Source organism: Homo sapiens, chromosome 7 (assembly GCF_000001405.40).
Source record: "Homo sapiens chromosome 7, GRCh38.p14 Primary Assembly".
Taxonomy (NCBI): domain Eukaryota; kingdom Metazoa; phylum Chordata; class Mammalia; order Primates; family Hominidae; genus Homo; species Homo sapiens.
The window spans coordinates 99,085,508-99,101,218 of record NC_000007.14 but is presented as its reverse complement, the minus strand read 5'-3'; the positions used below and the strand labels follow the sequence as shown (position 1 = coordinate 99,101,218).

Below are 15,711 nucleotides of genomic sequence, written 5' to 3'. Positions count from 1 at the left end.
TGTATTTTTTTGTAGAGATGGGATTTTGCCATGTTGCCCAGGCCGGGGATGGGACATTCCTTTCACTATTCCCTACCCCCCCATATTTCTTCAGAACTTAATAATAGTTTTGTTCCTTATCAAGAACCAAGTTCATTGGTAGCCTCCCAGAAAACTGGATTCAGTTCTAAAATGAAGAGATGGCTGGAAAACTTATCGAATGCATTTAAAAATTGGTCACCTTTTCCTCCATTTAAGAAAAGTCTCAAAATCACTTCATTATGTATAGTGTTCTTTTCTCCACCTTGCTTATCTCTGAAACACTCTTTCTCGGCTTTGGATTTAAAATTTGGTAAGAATTATTGTATCTCTCTTTGACTCTGAATATTCTTGTTGCTTTGTAAGATGTATATGTCTAAATTTCATCTCTTCACTTCACATCATGAAATCTTCCTTCTCTAGTCTTCTGTTTTAAGTCTCAGTTTGACTGTTGATAGAATGTTTCCAGTATTAACTTATAAGCTATGACTATGAGTTGATAACTGTTGTTTTAACAAAGATACAAAATTTATTCAAATAAATCTGCTTTAGTCTCCTGGGAAAGCTGGATATATATTTCTGTGATGTTGGGCTGAGAATTCTGAACTGCATTTTTATTTTTATTTTTTTATTTTTGTTTATTTTTCAAGATGGAGTTTTGCTCTGTTGCCCAGGCTGGAATGAAGTGGTGCGATCTTGGCTCGCTGCAACCTCTGTCCCCAGGTTAAAGCGATTCTCCTGCCTCAGCCTTCTGAGTAGCTGGGATTATAGGCGCCCGCCACCATGCCCAGCTAATTTTTGTATTTTTAATAGAGACGGGGTTTCACCATGTTGGCCAGGCTGGCCTCTAATTCCTGACCTCAGGAAATCCACACTCCTCGGCCTCCCGAAGTACTAGGATTACAGGCGTGAGCCATTGGGCAGGGCCGGAATGGCGTTTTTAAATTGAAATTAACTGCTGGATGCGTTCTTACTTTCTTACTAGGTAGAGTACAACATCTTTCCTTTTGCTTAGTTTATATTGTTAAAAGTATATATTTGGCATTCTGGGGTCAGAGCATTTTGCTTTGCAGCTTTTTTTTTTTTTTTTTTAACTTTTCCCACTAAAGGTTTTAAGATTACTGTAAATGTGATAAGATGAACACACACAAAAAACCTGTGAGAACCAGGATTCTCCGGGGATTTGACTGTATATTTGGAATGCTGTGAAAGGCACTGGTGGCTGTCCTAGTTCGTTTAGAGTTGCTGTATCAGAATACCTGAAACTGGATAGTTTATAAAGTAAAGAGGTTTATTTAGCACATGATTCTGGGGGTTGGAAAGTTCAGGACTGAGCATTTGCATCTGGGGAGGGCCTTAGACTGTTTTAACTCATGTTGGAAAACAGAAGTGGAAATGATGTGTGCAAAGAAACCACATGGCCAGAGAGAGAAACCAAGGAAGCCAGACTCTTCTGAACAACCCACCCTCTTGGGAATGAATCCATTCCGTGAGAGTGAGAACTCACTCCCGTGGGAAGGCATTAATCTATTCATGAGAGCTCCACCCCCATGACCCAGACACCTCCCAGTAGGCCCATAGGCCCCACCTCCCACCGCTGCCACAGTGGGGATCAAATTTTAACATGAGTTTTGGTGGGGACAGACCAAACCACAGCAGTGGTCTTGCCAGCGTGTACATGATAATGGCATTTCCCCCCCTATCCTGGGAAAGGAATTACTGCACGGACCTTAGAAAGCAGATAAACCACTCTGTAAGAAATTAGGTATTTTCTTCTTAGAATCAATTCAGTTCAGTGTTACTGTTCTCTTTTATGTGTTAGACCCTGTGTTAGATACTGTGGAGTGACAGCAAAGCAATGTAAAACCTCCCTCGACTATTGAAACAGCCACCAAAGAGGTCAACTTCCTGCCTCCTGCCTCTCTCCATTCCTTCTCATTTTCTACTCCCGTGCCAGAGTTTATAGCTTTCCAAAAAAAAAAAAAAAAAAAGTAGTAGTGTTTGGCTCCTCATTGCCTCCAGGGCAAAGTCCAAATTCCTTAACATTGCATAGAAGACCTTTTCTCATCGGGCTCTAGTCTCCTCTTGTTCCTGAACCAAACCTTCCATAGAAACACATTTCCCTGAATGCATTCTGCCTCTCAAACATGTCTTTACACATGTTCTTTCTATAGAATGATCTACTCCCTAGTTACTCCTTCTTGTCTTCCCATCACAGTGTCTTCATAACGCTATTCACATTATTTATTTCCTTGTCTTTGCTGCTGCCAAAGATGAAAGGAGGGATCTCAATCATTTCCATTCCAGGGCCTGGCACAAAGCGCTTATTAAATGTTGTTTTCAGTGAATGATGCAGAGTAACCTCCTTAAAGGATCTTATAATTTAATGAGGAGGGAAGATGATCAGAGGGCCGAAAGTCACTAACATGTGTCTGAATGGAAATAGTGTATTATTCAGCTAAATTCTGCAGTTTCCCTTGACCAGACATAGAACAAATATAAATCTGTCCAGTTTTAGTTGCCCCATAGCTTAGTGTTTGGTGACATTTCTCAGTGCACTGTGGTGCTATTTTGTATGCTGCTGTTCTTTGTCAATGAAGCTCCAAGCAGAGGGCTTGTGAATACGGAGCTAAGGTTTGTTGCAATGGGGAAGAAATATGAGTCAATTAGTGATGAAAATGAGAAAATGCACTGTTCGATATCATAGGCATGATCTTGTCAAATTGAAAAAAGTTCTCTTTACACTGTGAGACCATTCTGTCTTTTGTTATTATATGCATACTTCTCTCTCTTTGATTAGAGTCATTTTTTTTCCCTCCCAGCCAGTTAACATGTTCATAAACAGAGGTCCTTCTAACTCAGTTACCTTTTGTAATGCCCATAGGAAAATGCTCATTTTGGGGTTAAAATCTTATCGTCTCCCCTGCTTCCATCTCAGTTTCTTTACCTTACCAGAAAATTAGGTAATTATCTGTTAGATTTAAAATGTGAGGATCAGATTTAACTCCTGAAATAAGGAGAAGGGTGTAGATGATTTTGTTTATTCTTATAGCAAATTTAGCTTTATTGTAGAATTACTTTATAATAATTTACTAATTGGGATTTTTTTCTCCGTTTTATGTGTTTTCAATAAAAGCAGTTCTTGATGTTGACAGTGAAAATTTTGCTGGTGGCTAACTTGGGTTTTGTCTGTTGAAAAAGATCTTCATTTTTCTCTTGATTCTTAAAAGCTATTTTTGCTGGGTAGAGAATTCTAGGTTAGCAGTTATTTTCTTGAAGATATTTCTGTCTTCAAATCTTCACTGTGGCATTTCAGAAGTTGGTCACTCGTACTTGGAAAGTAATCTTTCCTTTTTCTGTGGCTGCATTCAATATTTTTATCTTTGTATTTCACTTTCTGCAGTTTCACTGTGAAGTAACCAGGTGTGTATTTCTTTTCATTTATCCTGTTTGGGCTTTTTGAAGTGCATTACTGTCTTCGAAGCCATTCATTACTGTCTTTGTTTTGTGTTGCTATAACACAATACCACAGGCTGGGTAACTTATAAATAAAAGAAGTTTATTTCTTACAGTTCTCGAGGCTGGGTAGTCCAATATCAGGGTGCTAGCATCTGGCAAGGGCCTTCTTGTGGCGTCATTCCATAGTGAAAGATGGAAGGGCAAGAGAACATGTGTGAGAGAGAGAGCAAGAGATTGAACTCACAGCCTCGAGCCCTTTTTTAATGTCATCAATCCATTCATGCGAGTAGAGCCTTCATGACCTAAATATCTCCCATGAGGTCCACCTCCCAGCACAGTTGCATTGAAGATGAAGTTTCCAACATTTACTCCTTGGGGTGCACATTCAAGCCACTGCAATCACTGTTGAAAATTCGGAGCCGTGACCTCTTTCACTGTTGTTTTTGCCTCATTCCCTCTCTCTCCCCTCTTTTTGGTACTCAGTGAAGCTCAAGTTAGAGTTTATGATTGCAATGGTTCATTCTGCTTTCCTTTTAAAATTTCTTAAGGTAGAAGCTTAGATGCCTGATTTGCAACTTTTTTCTTTTCTAATAAAAACATTTAATCTTATAAATTTCATTCTAAGTTTAGCTGAATCTCACAAACTTTTTTTTTTTTCTTTCAGTTCAAAATATTCTCTAATTTCCTTTGAGACCTTCCCTGTCACCCATGGATTATTTAGAAGTGTGATGTCTACTATCCAAGTGTTTGAAGATTTTCCTGTTATTTTTTCACATTGCTTTCTAGTTTAATTCCATTATGGTCAGGAACATACATCGTATGACTCTAGTCCCTTTCAGTTTGCTACGATTTCTATTATAAATGTTCCATTTTGTACTTGAAAAGAATATGTACACTGTTGTGGTTGAATGGAGTATTCTATAAATGTCAGTTTGATCCCGTTAGTTAATGGTGTTCAGTTCTTCTATATATATCCTTGCTGACTCTGTCTACTAGCTCTGTCAATTGCTGATTAGAGTTTTTACGTCTCCAGCTGTAATTTTAGATTTGCCTCTTTCAATTCTGTCAGTTTTTGCTTTATGTATTTTGATGCTCTATTGTTAGGTACAAACACATATAGGATTGTTATATCTTCTTGGTGAATTGACCCTTTTATTATTATGTACTGTCTTTCTTTATCTCCCACACTTTTCTTTCTCTGAAGTTGAATATTAATATAGCCATTCAGGCTTTCTTATGATTAGTGTTTGCATGGCATATCTTTTCCTCCCATGTGAGTTGCAATTTCGCTGGTTCTTTATATGCTGAGTAATTTTGGATTTTATCCTTGACATTTTGGTTATTATGTTCTGAGACTCTGTGTCTTGTGTAAATACTGTGGAGAATATTGACGCATTTGTTTAGCAGGCATTGACCTAGTTGAGCTCAGGGCATGTGTTCTGTTCTAACTAGCCTTTTGCGGGTTGTGGTTTCAATGTCACTTGTTTTCAAAACCTTTGCAGTGCTATTTGTTACCTGTCTGTATTTTACCAGGTGGCCACCTGGAGCCTGGTTGGTGGTTTACCCCATGATTTAGGCGTCCTGGTCATTTGTAGGTGAAAGTTGTTCACAGTAGACCAAGGTTTGAGATTTTCTTGGTCACTCAGCTGAGGTGAAGCTGGGCTGCTGTCTGAACTTGTACCCTCAAGGTGCTGCCCCTTTGAAGGTTAGCCCACACTGATAGGTAATGCCCCAGGACCCCATTCTTGGAAGTTAAAGGACTCCAGCCCTCATCCTCCAGACTCTAAAAGGACTCCTTTCAGCAAATGTGACCCTAGGGCCAAAAAAGCAGCTGGACATCTGGGTTTTCTCCAGGCTCAGGCACTGATCTCAGGCTTCTAGACTTCAGAACTGTGAGACGATACATTTCTGTTGTTTAAGCCACTGAGCAGATGGTACTTTGTTATGGCAGCCCTAGCAAACTAATGCTAAGTGCGCAATTCTCATCTCCCCCAGGCCCCCGTGGCTAAGTTGAGATCTTTAAGAAAACATATTCTTTTAGGTCCTTAAATTTAACTTCGAGTACCTAGTCCATTGCCTGTGCATAGGAAGTAGGCACTTGATAAATACTCACTGGTGTTTCTGCTGTGATGGAAAATTTATGTCCCTGAAAAACCATACATTCTGCACAACAATACACTAAAAATAATAAGTGTCTTGTGGGAAAAGTAAGATTATAGCTGGTCTCTCAAAATCATTGCAACTTGGTAACTACTAGCAAAAACCATAATTGCTACCTTAAGAGATTATCTGGACCACCCAAGCAGGCATCTCAGTGTGGCTGGATGTTGCTAAAATGGATACTAAAATATACAAAAAAACAGTCCGCCTGCGGTGGCTCACGCCTGTAATCCCAGCACTTTAGGAGGCTGAGGTGGGTGGATCACCTGAGGTCAGCAGTTCAAGACCAGCCTGGCCAACATGGTGAAACCCCGTCTCTACTAAAAATACAAAAATTAGCCGGACATGGTGGCGCATGCCTGTAATCCCAGCTACTCGGGAGGCTGAGGCAAGAGAATCTCTTGAACCTGGGAGGCGGAGGTTGCAGTGAGCCGAGATCGCGCCATTGCACTCTAGCCTGGGTGACAGAGTGAGACTCCATCTCAAAAGTAAAATAAAATAAAATAAAATAAAATAAACAAAAACAGCAACATGGAAACCTGGCAATGCTTGAATTGGTACATGGGCGGTGGATGTTGAGACAGTGCACACAGAAGTGGAACTCTGAGCCCTGGGCCTCCTGTGATAGTGGCCATTGATGGAGCCAGTGCAGGTAGCCAAACTGAGGGAGCCTCTGGCTGGCTGTGGGTGCGCTGTCTGGGGAGTGGGACCCAGCTGTAGGCTGTTTGACAGCGTGGCATAAAATAATTTTTTGCATGAAACTTTTAGTCATGAAACTGCAAAACTGCTTGGGACTTGGGTGCCATTTCTAAAGGGCTCTGACAATTTGGCAATGATTTAATGTCATTATAGGGTGGTTGCTTTGTTCTTAAAATACAGCTTCTTGCTAAGGCCAAGTTAGGTGACAGTTTTTTTTTTTTTCCTTTTCTTGCCTAAGATTTTCATTTCACTCCCTCCACTTTTTTGCTTAGGAAACTCTCAAATGAATCAGTGTGACTTCCATGCTATAAGATGTCACTGCTACTTACCAATCAAACATGAGCTCATCTGTGTTACAGAAGCAGAACAGAACAGATGGTATTTGAATTAAGTTGAATTCCCTTTTGTACTGCTTATATTCATTTGTTAGTCTCCTGGGCTTATGATAAATTCAAGTGACTTCAGATGTATTGAGTTAGCCAGAGCTGTATATTTAAAATTACCTGTGGAGTTATTTAAAATTACCTGTGGAGTTATTTAAAATTTAAGTTGATATATATTGCCCTAAACTTGTTCAAAATTTGAATTAATTCATTGAAACATTCAAAAATTGAGTGTTTTCAATTAATAGAGACATTCTCTTTGTGATATAGAAAGCTATTCGTTGTTCTTGTTGACTTTTCTTTCTTACAGAAGAGGTTGTTTATAAATTTTTAGTGTGATCCTAATTGTATTTCTAATATTTTTGGTTTGGTTCCCTAAAATAGTTAAGGTCACTTTTAGGTAACAATTAGCGGACTTTAATTTTGACCATATATAGTTACACACACATCACGCACACACACAAATACAGTTTCAAATAATTTCTTTTAATTGATTTCAGTCTTGTTAATCTTGTGCGTAAATTTCAACTGAGCTATTAATGACACCTACGACTGACTTTCATTATTTGTTAGTTTTGAAAATTCAAATTAATATATTACAACATAGAAAGTCTATCAAATCTTGAACATTTAGATTGTAAAGCTTTTTGTTTTAGCAAATTTACTTATGATCAATTTATAATTGAAGAATTGGCTTCTAATCCCATATATAGTTTTTTAAAATTGAAATTATATATATATAGAAAAGTGCATATATAGAGTGCCATACTTTGTCATAGGTTAAGTTTTCTAAATAAGGAAAGTGTCTTAAAGAGAAACTCTTTATACAAGGAGGAAAGTAGTCATAAACTATTCTTAGTTTGGCATAAAATGATTTTTTTTTTTTGCATGGAAATTATAGGCGTAAAACTGCAAAAATTGCTTAGGACTTGGGTGCCATTTCTATAGGACTCTGGCAATTTGGCAATAATGTAATGTCATTATAGAGTGGTTGCTTTGTTGCATTTTATTGACTTTTTAGTGATAAATTCCAGGAGAATCTTTATTTTCCAGGATAAAACTCAATGTGGCGTTAATCCTTTCCATTTTCTCACCTCCTTTGTGTAGCTAGAGCTGAAAGCAAAGTAGGAGAGTGGCTTTGAAAAGGAAGGAAAATAAATTTGACAATGATCAAAAACGCCAGGCTGAAGGCAGCTTTTAATGTGATTAACCAGTTTGTAATTCATTTTTGGGAAACATTTCCAGAATATAACAATTTCAGAGAACACGAAACCTTCTTATAATTCTGGAAGTGGGAAGGAGAGAGGAACAGTGTGTGTTTTTGTGTGTGGCTTGCATTCTCTCCTCCGTTTTTGGAGCAGCGTGAGATTATTGCAATGCTACATTTCCTCCCTCTGCGCCCTCCTACCCCATCAATGTCTCATGGGTGGTGTGATATAGGCTATGGGAGTGAAGACCACTGGTGTTAGTCTGTGTATAGTTCCTGGGGTGTGGCGAGTACCAGCTCTGACAGCGGAAGAGAACTATACTGTTGATTCCCATTATTCTCAGTAGGTGTGTTCTATAAAATTGCTGCGAACACCAAATTAGCGAATCCTGAACCATCGTTCCCAGAGGAATAGGGGGTTAGGGTCCTGTGATCCTCAAGTTGCAACATTGTCTTCGACTGATTAATATGTAACCTTGTTTTATGTGTGCTTCTGTTTAAAGATACCTTACTCACTATATATCGTGGATTCATTAACATTGAACTCACAACGAACAGCACTGCCACTCGTGCCTGAACAAAATTTCCCTAATCCATGCATTTTCTTTGCAAGGCACACTGGATAGCACTTCACCACTTTGCTTGGGGACCATTCTAAACAGCACAGTCACCAACACAAAGCACAGACATGTGAAAAACATGGCACTAAATAGACCATGAAAAGACCATTTGTTGACAGTACGAGGCTGAAACGAGAAGGCGCGTTGTTGCCTGGTTTGACCTCAGCTGGGAACATGCACGTTCGATGACTCAATTTTTTTGTTGTCGTTGTTGCTCTGCAAACATCTGTGAATGACCAGGGAGGTGCCACGAGTATTGATTTTTGGGGTTACAAATACATTTTAGCAAGTAGGTGAATTCACAAATACAGAATCCAGGAATAATGAGAATCAGCCATACTCGAAAGACTAGAATTGGAGTCTGTCTCAGTTTCCATATTTATAAAATGGGTATAAATATGACACACACTGGAAGTTTGTGAATATCAATATGGAAAGGTTAAATGAGTAAAGCTTTCATTGTATTGCCAGACCTTTGAGTCCTCGATAGGTGATAGTGGTGTTAGTAGTAATTATTAAGACAAGTTAAAAATAATAGCAGCTATCTTTATTTGATACCTATATCATTGCTCGCAATAACCCTGAAAAGTAGGAAGTATTATCTGTATGGCACAGATGAGAACATTAAGGACCAGAGAGGTTGAGTAATTTGGCCCATCCATCACCCATCTGGGAAATAGCCAAACCGGACTTTGAACCCAGGATTTGATGACTTCAAAATCCATATCTTTTGGTCTGGTGCAGTGAATAAAGATTATGTCTGGCTTCAGGTCCCAGATGATGAAGTTGGGATTGATATTAGGCTGGTGCAAAAGTAATTGCACCTAATGCATCCAGGTGAGGGCAGAAAGTAGTTAGGGCAAGAGGAAAGCCATGTGGGGAAGGTTAGACTTGCTGCCCAGAGCTGGAGACATTAGGGCAGAGTAATCCAACTGACTAATCTTGGGATGAAAAGACGTTTAAAAAAAAATTATAAGACTAGGGTAGAAGCCAGAGGGGGCTAGAACGAGAATAAAGCTTTAGCTAGGAACCATCTGGAAAGAGGGTCTGGGCAAGGAACATTTTGTTTGTGAGGGAGGTGGTGAATTAGAGGCTCCTTGGTTTCAGATACTCCCGTCCACCATCTTTCTAGCTGTCCACACCTTCCCTTTTCCCCTCTTAACTGTTGTGTAGAGATTATTCTGAGCTAAGGCAGAGCAGTCTTGTGAATGCCCAGACCCTGAGAGAGACATGTAAGTTTCCTATCATTTTTCTACTTGTTATTCTGCACATATTTGTTGGTAGACTACAACGTAGCAATTTCAGAGGAATGCTTCATGGTGTTCTTGTGGAGTGATTATTTCTTACATCTGGTTCAAGTTTCATGGGTATGCATTGCATGAATTTTACCAAATTGTGTGTGTGTGTTTCAGATCCGCATAAATAAATCAGTAGTCAAAAGTAAGGGTAGTGTTTTTGGGAATATATTTTTCTTACTTTTGTGGGTCCCCAAGAAGTCAGTCCACTGATTTTATGTATATATGCACTCACTACTACTGTACATCTGGAGTAGAGGCTGGCAAGCTTCTGAAATGCTCAGATAGTAAATATTTTATGCTTTGCAGGCCATGTGGCCTCTATTACAACTACTCAACTCTGCTGTTGTTGTAGCCATGGATACTGAGTAAACTGATTAGTGTGGCTGTGTTCCAATAAAACTTTATTTACAAACACAGGCAGTAGCTTGCCAACCCCCTAACTAGAGCGTAGCTGTCACTTTGAGACCTGAGTAACTTCTCTGTAGGATTACACCCTTGCAAGAATTCTGCCCGCAGCATTTCCGAGTTTGCATTATAACCTTGTGGGCAGGGCAGTGAAAGTACTGTTATATAGGAAAGTTACCGTCTCCTAGGAATTTTGTTTTAAGAAAAAGATTCTAATACTAAAGTATGACATTTGTTGAATATTTTTTATTGGCAGTAGGAAAGGAAAATTGAAATTACATACAGGAACTCCAAAAGCTTGCTCGTGCTCATTTTTCTTCTATTACAGATTGAACATTTAATGATAAATGTGGGTGGGGGGATTTAATATTTCAGAACAGAAGGCAGAGATTAATTTTATTTTGCCCCCTAAAATGTAATACATTTTCTCTCTCTTCTTGCCCCCTGCCCTGCCCTTTCCCACTCCTCCTCTCTGTCCCTTTGCTGGGATAGGGAAATTGACTGTAAGGGGATTATGGGTCTATGTGGGAGGGAGAGATAAGAGGGTCTCAGCAAAATGCCACCTTCCAACCCTGCTATCGCTGTAAGCAGTAGGGAAAGGAAGGGGTAGGTTTATAGCTCCCAACCCATGATCAACTAGTTCTACTTCCTTGATTGTTTGATCATGGTCAATCTGTAGAGGATCCATTTCTGAAGAGCTTTGTTTAAAACGGCCCCTTCTCTAAACACCTTAGAGTTTTGCACCCAGTGCCCCGGATCACCCGCTGGAGGCCACAGAGGACAAACGCTAGTTGCAGTGTTTGTGAGCTGCCTTTGCTGAACAGTAGTGCGCGTGGGAAGCATCAGCAATTATCCACCTGTTTCTCACCATCCCTTTCCAAACTGACTTTTACTCATTCATGGCCATGGAGATATATTTGCCAGTCTTTGTCAATTCATCAGTTTTTTTCCAGGAAGTCCTTTTCTTTTAAATGCTATCATATGAAGGCTGCCCTTGCTTTAAGCATTTTTGATTGTTCTTATTAAAATGAAGAATAACCCCTTCCTTCTCTCCTACCCCACACTCCTTGGAGGTTTAAGTGAGCAGAAAATGGTAGTACGATAAAAGATCCATGTAGGTGGGTTTGCAGAAAAGTTAATCCAAGATAAGTAACAGATTGAAAATGTAGGCTTCTGACTATGCTAGTGCAAACCGAGTTAAATGGATCGATTAGAGTTTACTTTCCAATATGATTTTGATGAATGGTGTAACATTGTGAAAGGCTTTTTGAAGACAAAACCACTAACCCGTTGTATTGTTTTGTTTTGTTTTGTTTTGTTTTGTTTTAAGAGACAGGGTCTCGCTCTGTTGCCCAGGCTGGAGGGCAATGGTATGATCATGGCTGACTGCAGCCTGGAACTCCTGGGCTCAAGTGATTCTCCCACCTCAGCCTCCTGAGTAGCTGGGATTACAGGCACACACCACCACACCCAGCTAATTTTTGTATTTTTTTTGTAGAGATGAGGTTTCACCATGTTTCCCAGGCTGATCTCGAACTCCTGGGCCCAAGCGATCCTCCTGCCTCGGCCTCCCAAAGTGCTGGGATTACAGGTGTGAGCCACTGTATTTTAAAATACAGTTTTTAAAATAAAAAAACTGTATTTTAAGGATTCAATTTGAATTTGTGTTTAGATCCATGCTAAGGCATGCATGCAATTGACACACGGACCCTGGGATATGCGGTGTCCTGTCTGACTGATTGATTGATTTCTTTCTTTTTTTTTTTTTTGACAGAGTCTCACTAGGTCACCAGGCTGGAGTGCAGTGGCACGATCTTGGCTCACTGCAACCTCCGCCTCCCAGGTTCAAGCGATTCTCCTGCCTCAGCCTCCTGAGTAGCTGGGATTACAGGCGCACGCCACCACGCCTAGCTAATTTTTGTATTTTTGGTAGAAATGGGGTTTCACCATGTTTGCCAGGATGGTCTCAATCTCTTGACCTTGTGATCTGCCCGCCTCAGCCTCCCATAGTGCTAGGATTACAGGCGTGAGCCAGCGCACCCAGCCTTTTTTTGTGTGTGTGTTTTTAGTAGAGATAGGGTTTCACCATGTTGGCCAGGCTGATCTCAAACTCCTGACCTCAGGTGATCCACCCACCTCAGCCTCCCAAAGTGCTGGGATTACAGGCATGAGCCTGATTTACAGGCACTGATTTCTGACAATACATCCTTACTATATATCCAAAACTTACCTGCCCTTTGAAACCCAGCCTGTCTCACCTCTACAAAAACAAACAAACTACCTTCCTAACCATTCCTACGATACTATTCTATTTCTGTGAATTCTTAAAATCTGCTTGAACAGCCCATTTTGACATTTGATTCTCTGTGTCAGTGTTTATTGTCTTAGATTTACCCCCTGCATGCAGAAGTGACTGCATAGTCACTACTTTTAGTGAGTTTGAAATCTGTTTGGAGAGCTATGTAAGTACCAATGGAAAAAAAAAAAGAAGTAGGTAACTTTACAGGACAGTAAAGGACAGATTGAAGAAGGGGGACGGGGGACTTGAACTAGGCCTGGAAGCGCAGGGGTAAAGGAGGTGGAGCATGTTGGTTGCCAGGGGACCCTGAGCAAAGGAGCACTTAAAAAAATGCATGAGGGGAAAGGTCATCAGTGACGTCAGTAGTTCGATCCAAGGGGAGTTTGTACTCTTTTTAATTTTTTTTTTTTTTTGAGACAGAGTCTTGCTCTGTTGCCCAGGCTGCAGTGCAGTGGCACGATCTCGGCTCACTGCAGCCTCCACCTAAGAAGTTCAAGTGATTCTCCTGCCTCAGCCTCCCGAGTAGCTGGGATTACAGGCGCCTGCCACCATGCTTGGCTAATTTTTTGTATTTTTAGTTGAGATGGGGTTTTGCTATGTTGGCCAGGCTGGTCTCGAACTCCTGACCTCAGGTGATCCACCTGCCTCGGCCTCCCAAAGTGCTGGGATTACAGATGTGAGCCACTGCTCCCGGCCAAATACTTTTTTTTTTTAAAGAAATTTTCATTTAGTAAATAATGCTGAGCTCAGAGGTTTATGTGTAGGAGAGTTATACAATGAAAATGTTTTATTCATTTATCCAACAAATAATTATTTCATGATTAAAAGGAATTAGAGAAAAGAGATGCCAGAGCCTATTGTACTCATCCAGACATGAGATAAGAGTTGCCTGGACTTGAGCAGTGGCAGCGGGGCTGGAAAGAATGGACCTAAAAGATAGCACAAAAGATGGATTGATAGCGTCGGAGGAGTCATTTAATGTGCGCGGCAGAAGCGATCAGCCTTGCACTATCGTTGCTTTTCTTGCTGATGCATTTTTGTCTATCTAGCTAAACTCTAAACTCTTATGCCCAGACACTACCTTTTATACTCCTTTTACAATAGGTGCCATTGTCGTTTTATTCTTGTTTAAATAATTTATTTAAAATGTATTGTTCCGCAGAGCATGGCATTTTAAACACCGACTTAACATCCTCTAGTAAGATAATGCTAAGACTTATAAGAAGCAAATGCCACTTCTGTAAGTCTTCAAATCACTCTTGTGTTTAATTTTTTTTGTTTGTTTTAAGACAGGGTCTTTCTCTGTTGCTCAGGCTGGAGAGCAGTGGTGCACTCATAGCTTATTGAAGCTTTGACCTCCTGGGCTCAAGCAGTCCTCCCACCTCAGCCTCCCAAGTAGCTGGGACCATAGGCATATGGCACCATGACTGGCTAATTTTTTTAAAATTAAAATTTTTTTTTTTTGTAGAGATGGGGTCTTGCTATGTTGCCCAGGCTGGTCTCAAACTCCTGAGCTCAAGTGATTCTTCCCCCTTGACCTCCCAAAGTTTTGGGATTATAGGCATGAGCCACTGCACCCAGTACATTTAATTTTTTTTGAGATGAAATTGAAATACCATAAACTTAACCCTTTAAAGTGCATAATTTAGTATTTTCCGTATATCCACAGAATTGTACACCATCACCCTCTAATTTCAGAATAGTTTCATCACCCGAAAAAGAAACCCCACATATTTCAGCAGTCACTCCCTATTCCGCTTATTCTGAGTCCCTGGCAACCACTAATCTACTTTCTTTATATATAGATTTGTCTATTCTGGACATTTCCGATAAATGACATTGTGCATATGTGGTCCTTTGTATGTGACTTCTTTAATTTAGCACATTATGTTCTAGGTGCACTTACGTTGGAGTATGGATTAATACTTCATTCTTTTCATGGCTGAATAATATTCCATTGTGTGGATTTGCTGCGGTTTGTTTATCCATTCATCAGATGATGGACGTTTGGGTTGTTTCTGCATTTTTGCTATTCTGAACAATGCTGCTATGAGCATTCACATGTAAGATTTTGTGTGACCATATGTTGTCACTTTTCTTTGGTATTTTACATAGGGGTAGAATTGCTGGATTTTATGGTAACTCCACGTTCAACATTTTGAACAACTGCCAACTTGTTTTCCAAAGTGGTGGCACCATTTTACATTGCCACCATCAATGTAGGAGTGTTCCAGTTTCTCCATATCCTTGCCCCTCTGTATTTTTTTTTTTTTTTAACTATCTTAGGTGGGAAGTGGTATTTCTTTCTTTCTTTTTTTTTCCTTTTTGAGAGAGTCTCACTCTGTTGCCCAGACTGGAGTGCAATGGTGTGATCTTGGCTCAATGAAACTTCCGTCTCCCAGGTTCAAGTGATTCTCCCACCTCAGCCTCCCGAATAGCTGGGATTACAGGTGTGTGTCACCATGCCTGGCTAATTTTTGTATTTTTAGTAGAGACGGAGTTTCACCATGTTGGCCAGGCTGGTCTCGAACTGCTAACCTCAGGTGATCCACCCACCTCGGCCTCTCAAAATGCTGGGAATACAGGTGTGAACCACCACGCCTGGCCGTGGAAAGTGATATTTCATACTAGTCTTGATTTGCATCTGCCTGATGGCTAATGATGTTGACCATCTTTTATGAGCTTTATTGACCATTTGTTTATCTTCTTTGGAGAAATGTCTGGTCAGATCCTTTGCCTATATTTTAATTGGCTTATTTTGTCTTTTTATTGCTGATTTGTAAGAATTGTAAGTGAAAGAAGTCAATCTGAAAAGGATATATACTATATGATTCCAACTATGTGACATTCTGGAAAAGGCAAAACTGTAGAGACAGTTAAAAGATTGGAAGTTGCCAAGGGGACGGGGAGAATAACGGGTAGAGTACAGAGGATTTTTTAGGGCAGCGAAACTATTCCGTGTGATACTATAAGGGTGGCTACATGTCATTCTACATTTGTCAAAACCTATAGAATGTACTGCACCACGAGTGAACCCTAATGTAAACTATAGACTCTGTATGATAATGATGTGTTCACATAGGTTCATTGAGTATGATAAATGCAGCGCTCTGGTATAAGATATTGATAATGGGTGTATTAGTCTGTTCTTGCACTGCTCTAA

General features: G+C 40.1%; 1 protein-coding gene across 7 annotated transcripts in view, besides 2 other annotated features; it reads left to right on the top strand.

Moving 5' to 3' along the window:
* Positions 1-15,711, top strand: part of SMURF1 (SMAD specific E3 ubiquitin protein ligase 1) — a 116,669-nt gene that overhangs the window by 42,890 nt on the left and 58,068 nt on the right. The gene's annotated exons all lie outside the window — the stretch shown is intronic.
* Positions 1,139-1,992: an enhancer, noted in NCBI's record as "H3K27ac hESC enhancer chr7:98696850-98697703 (GRCh37/hg19 assembly coordinates)". NCBI's record gives its function as "activates a minimal SCP1, AML or CMV promoter by ChIP-STARR-seq in primed H9 embryonic stem cells {active_cell/tissue: H9 hESC(primed)}" and the evidence as "EXISTENCE:reporter gene assay evidence [ECO:0000049][PMID:30033119]".
* Positions 1,993-2,847: an enhancer, noted in NCBI's record as "H3K27ac hESC enhancer chr7:98695995-98696849 (GRCh37/hg19 assembly coordinates)". NCBI's record gives its function as "activates a minimal SCP1, AML or CMV promoter by ChIP-STARR-seq in naive H9 embryonic stem cells {active_cell/tissue: H9 hESC(naive)}" and the evidence as "EXISTENCE:reporter gene assay evidence [ECO:0000049][PMID:30033119]".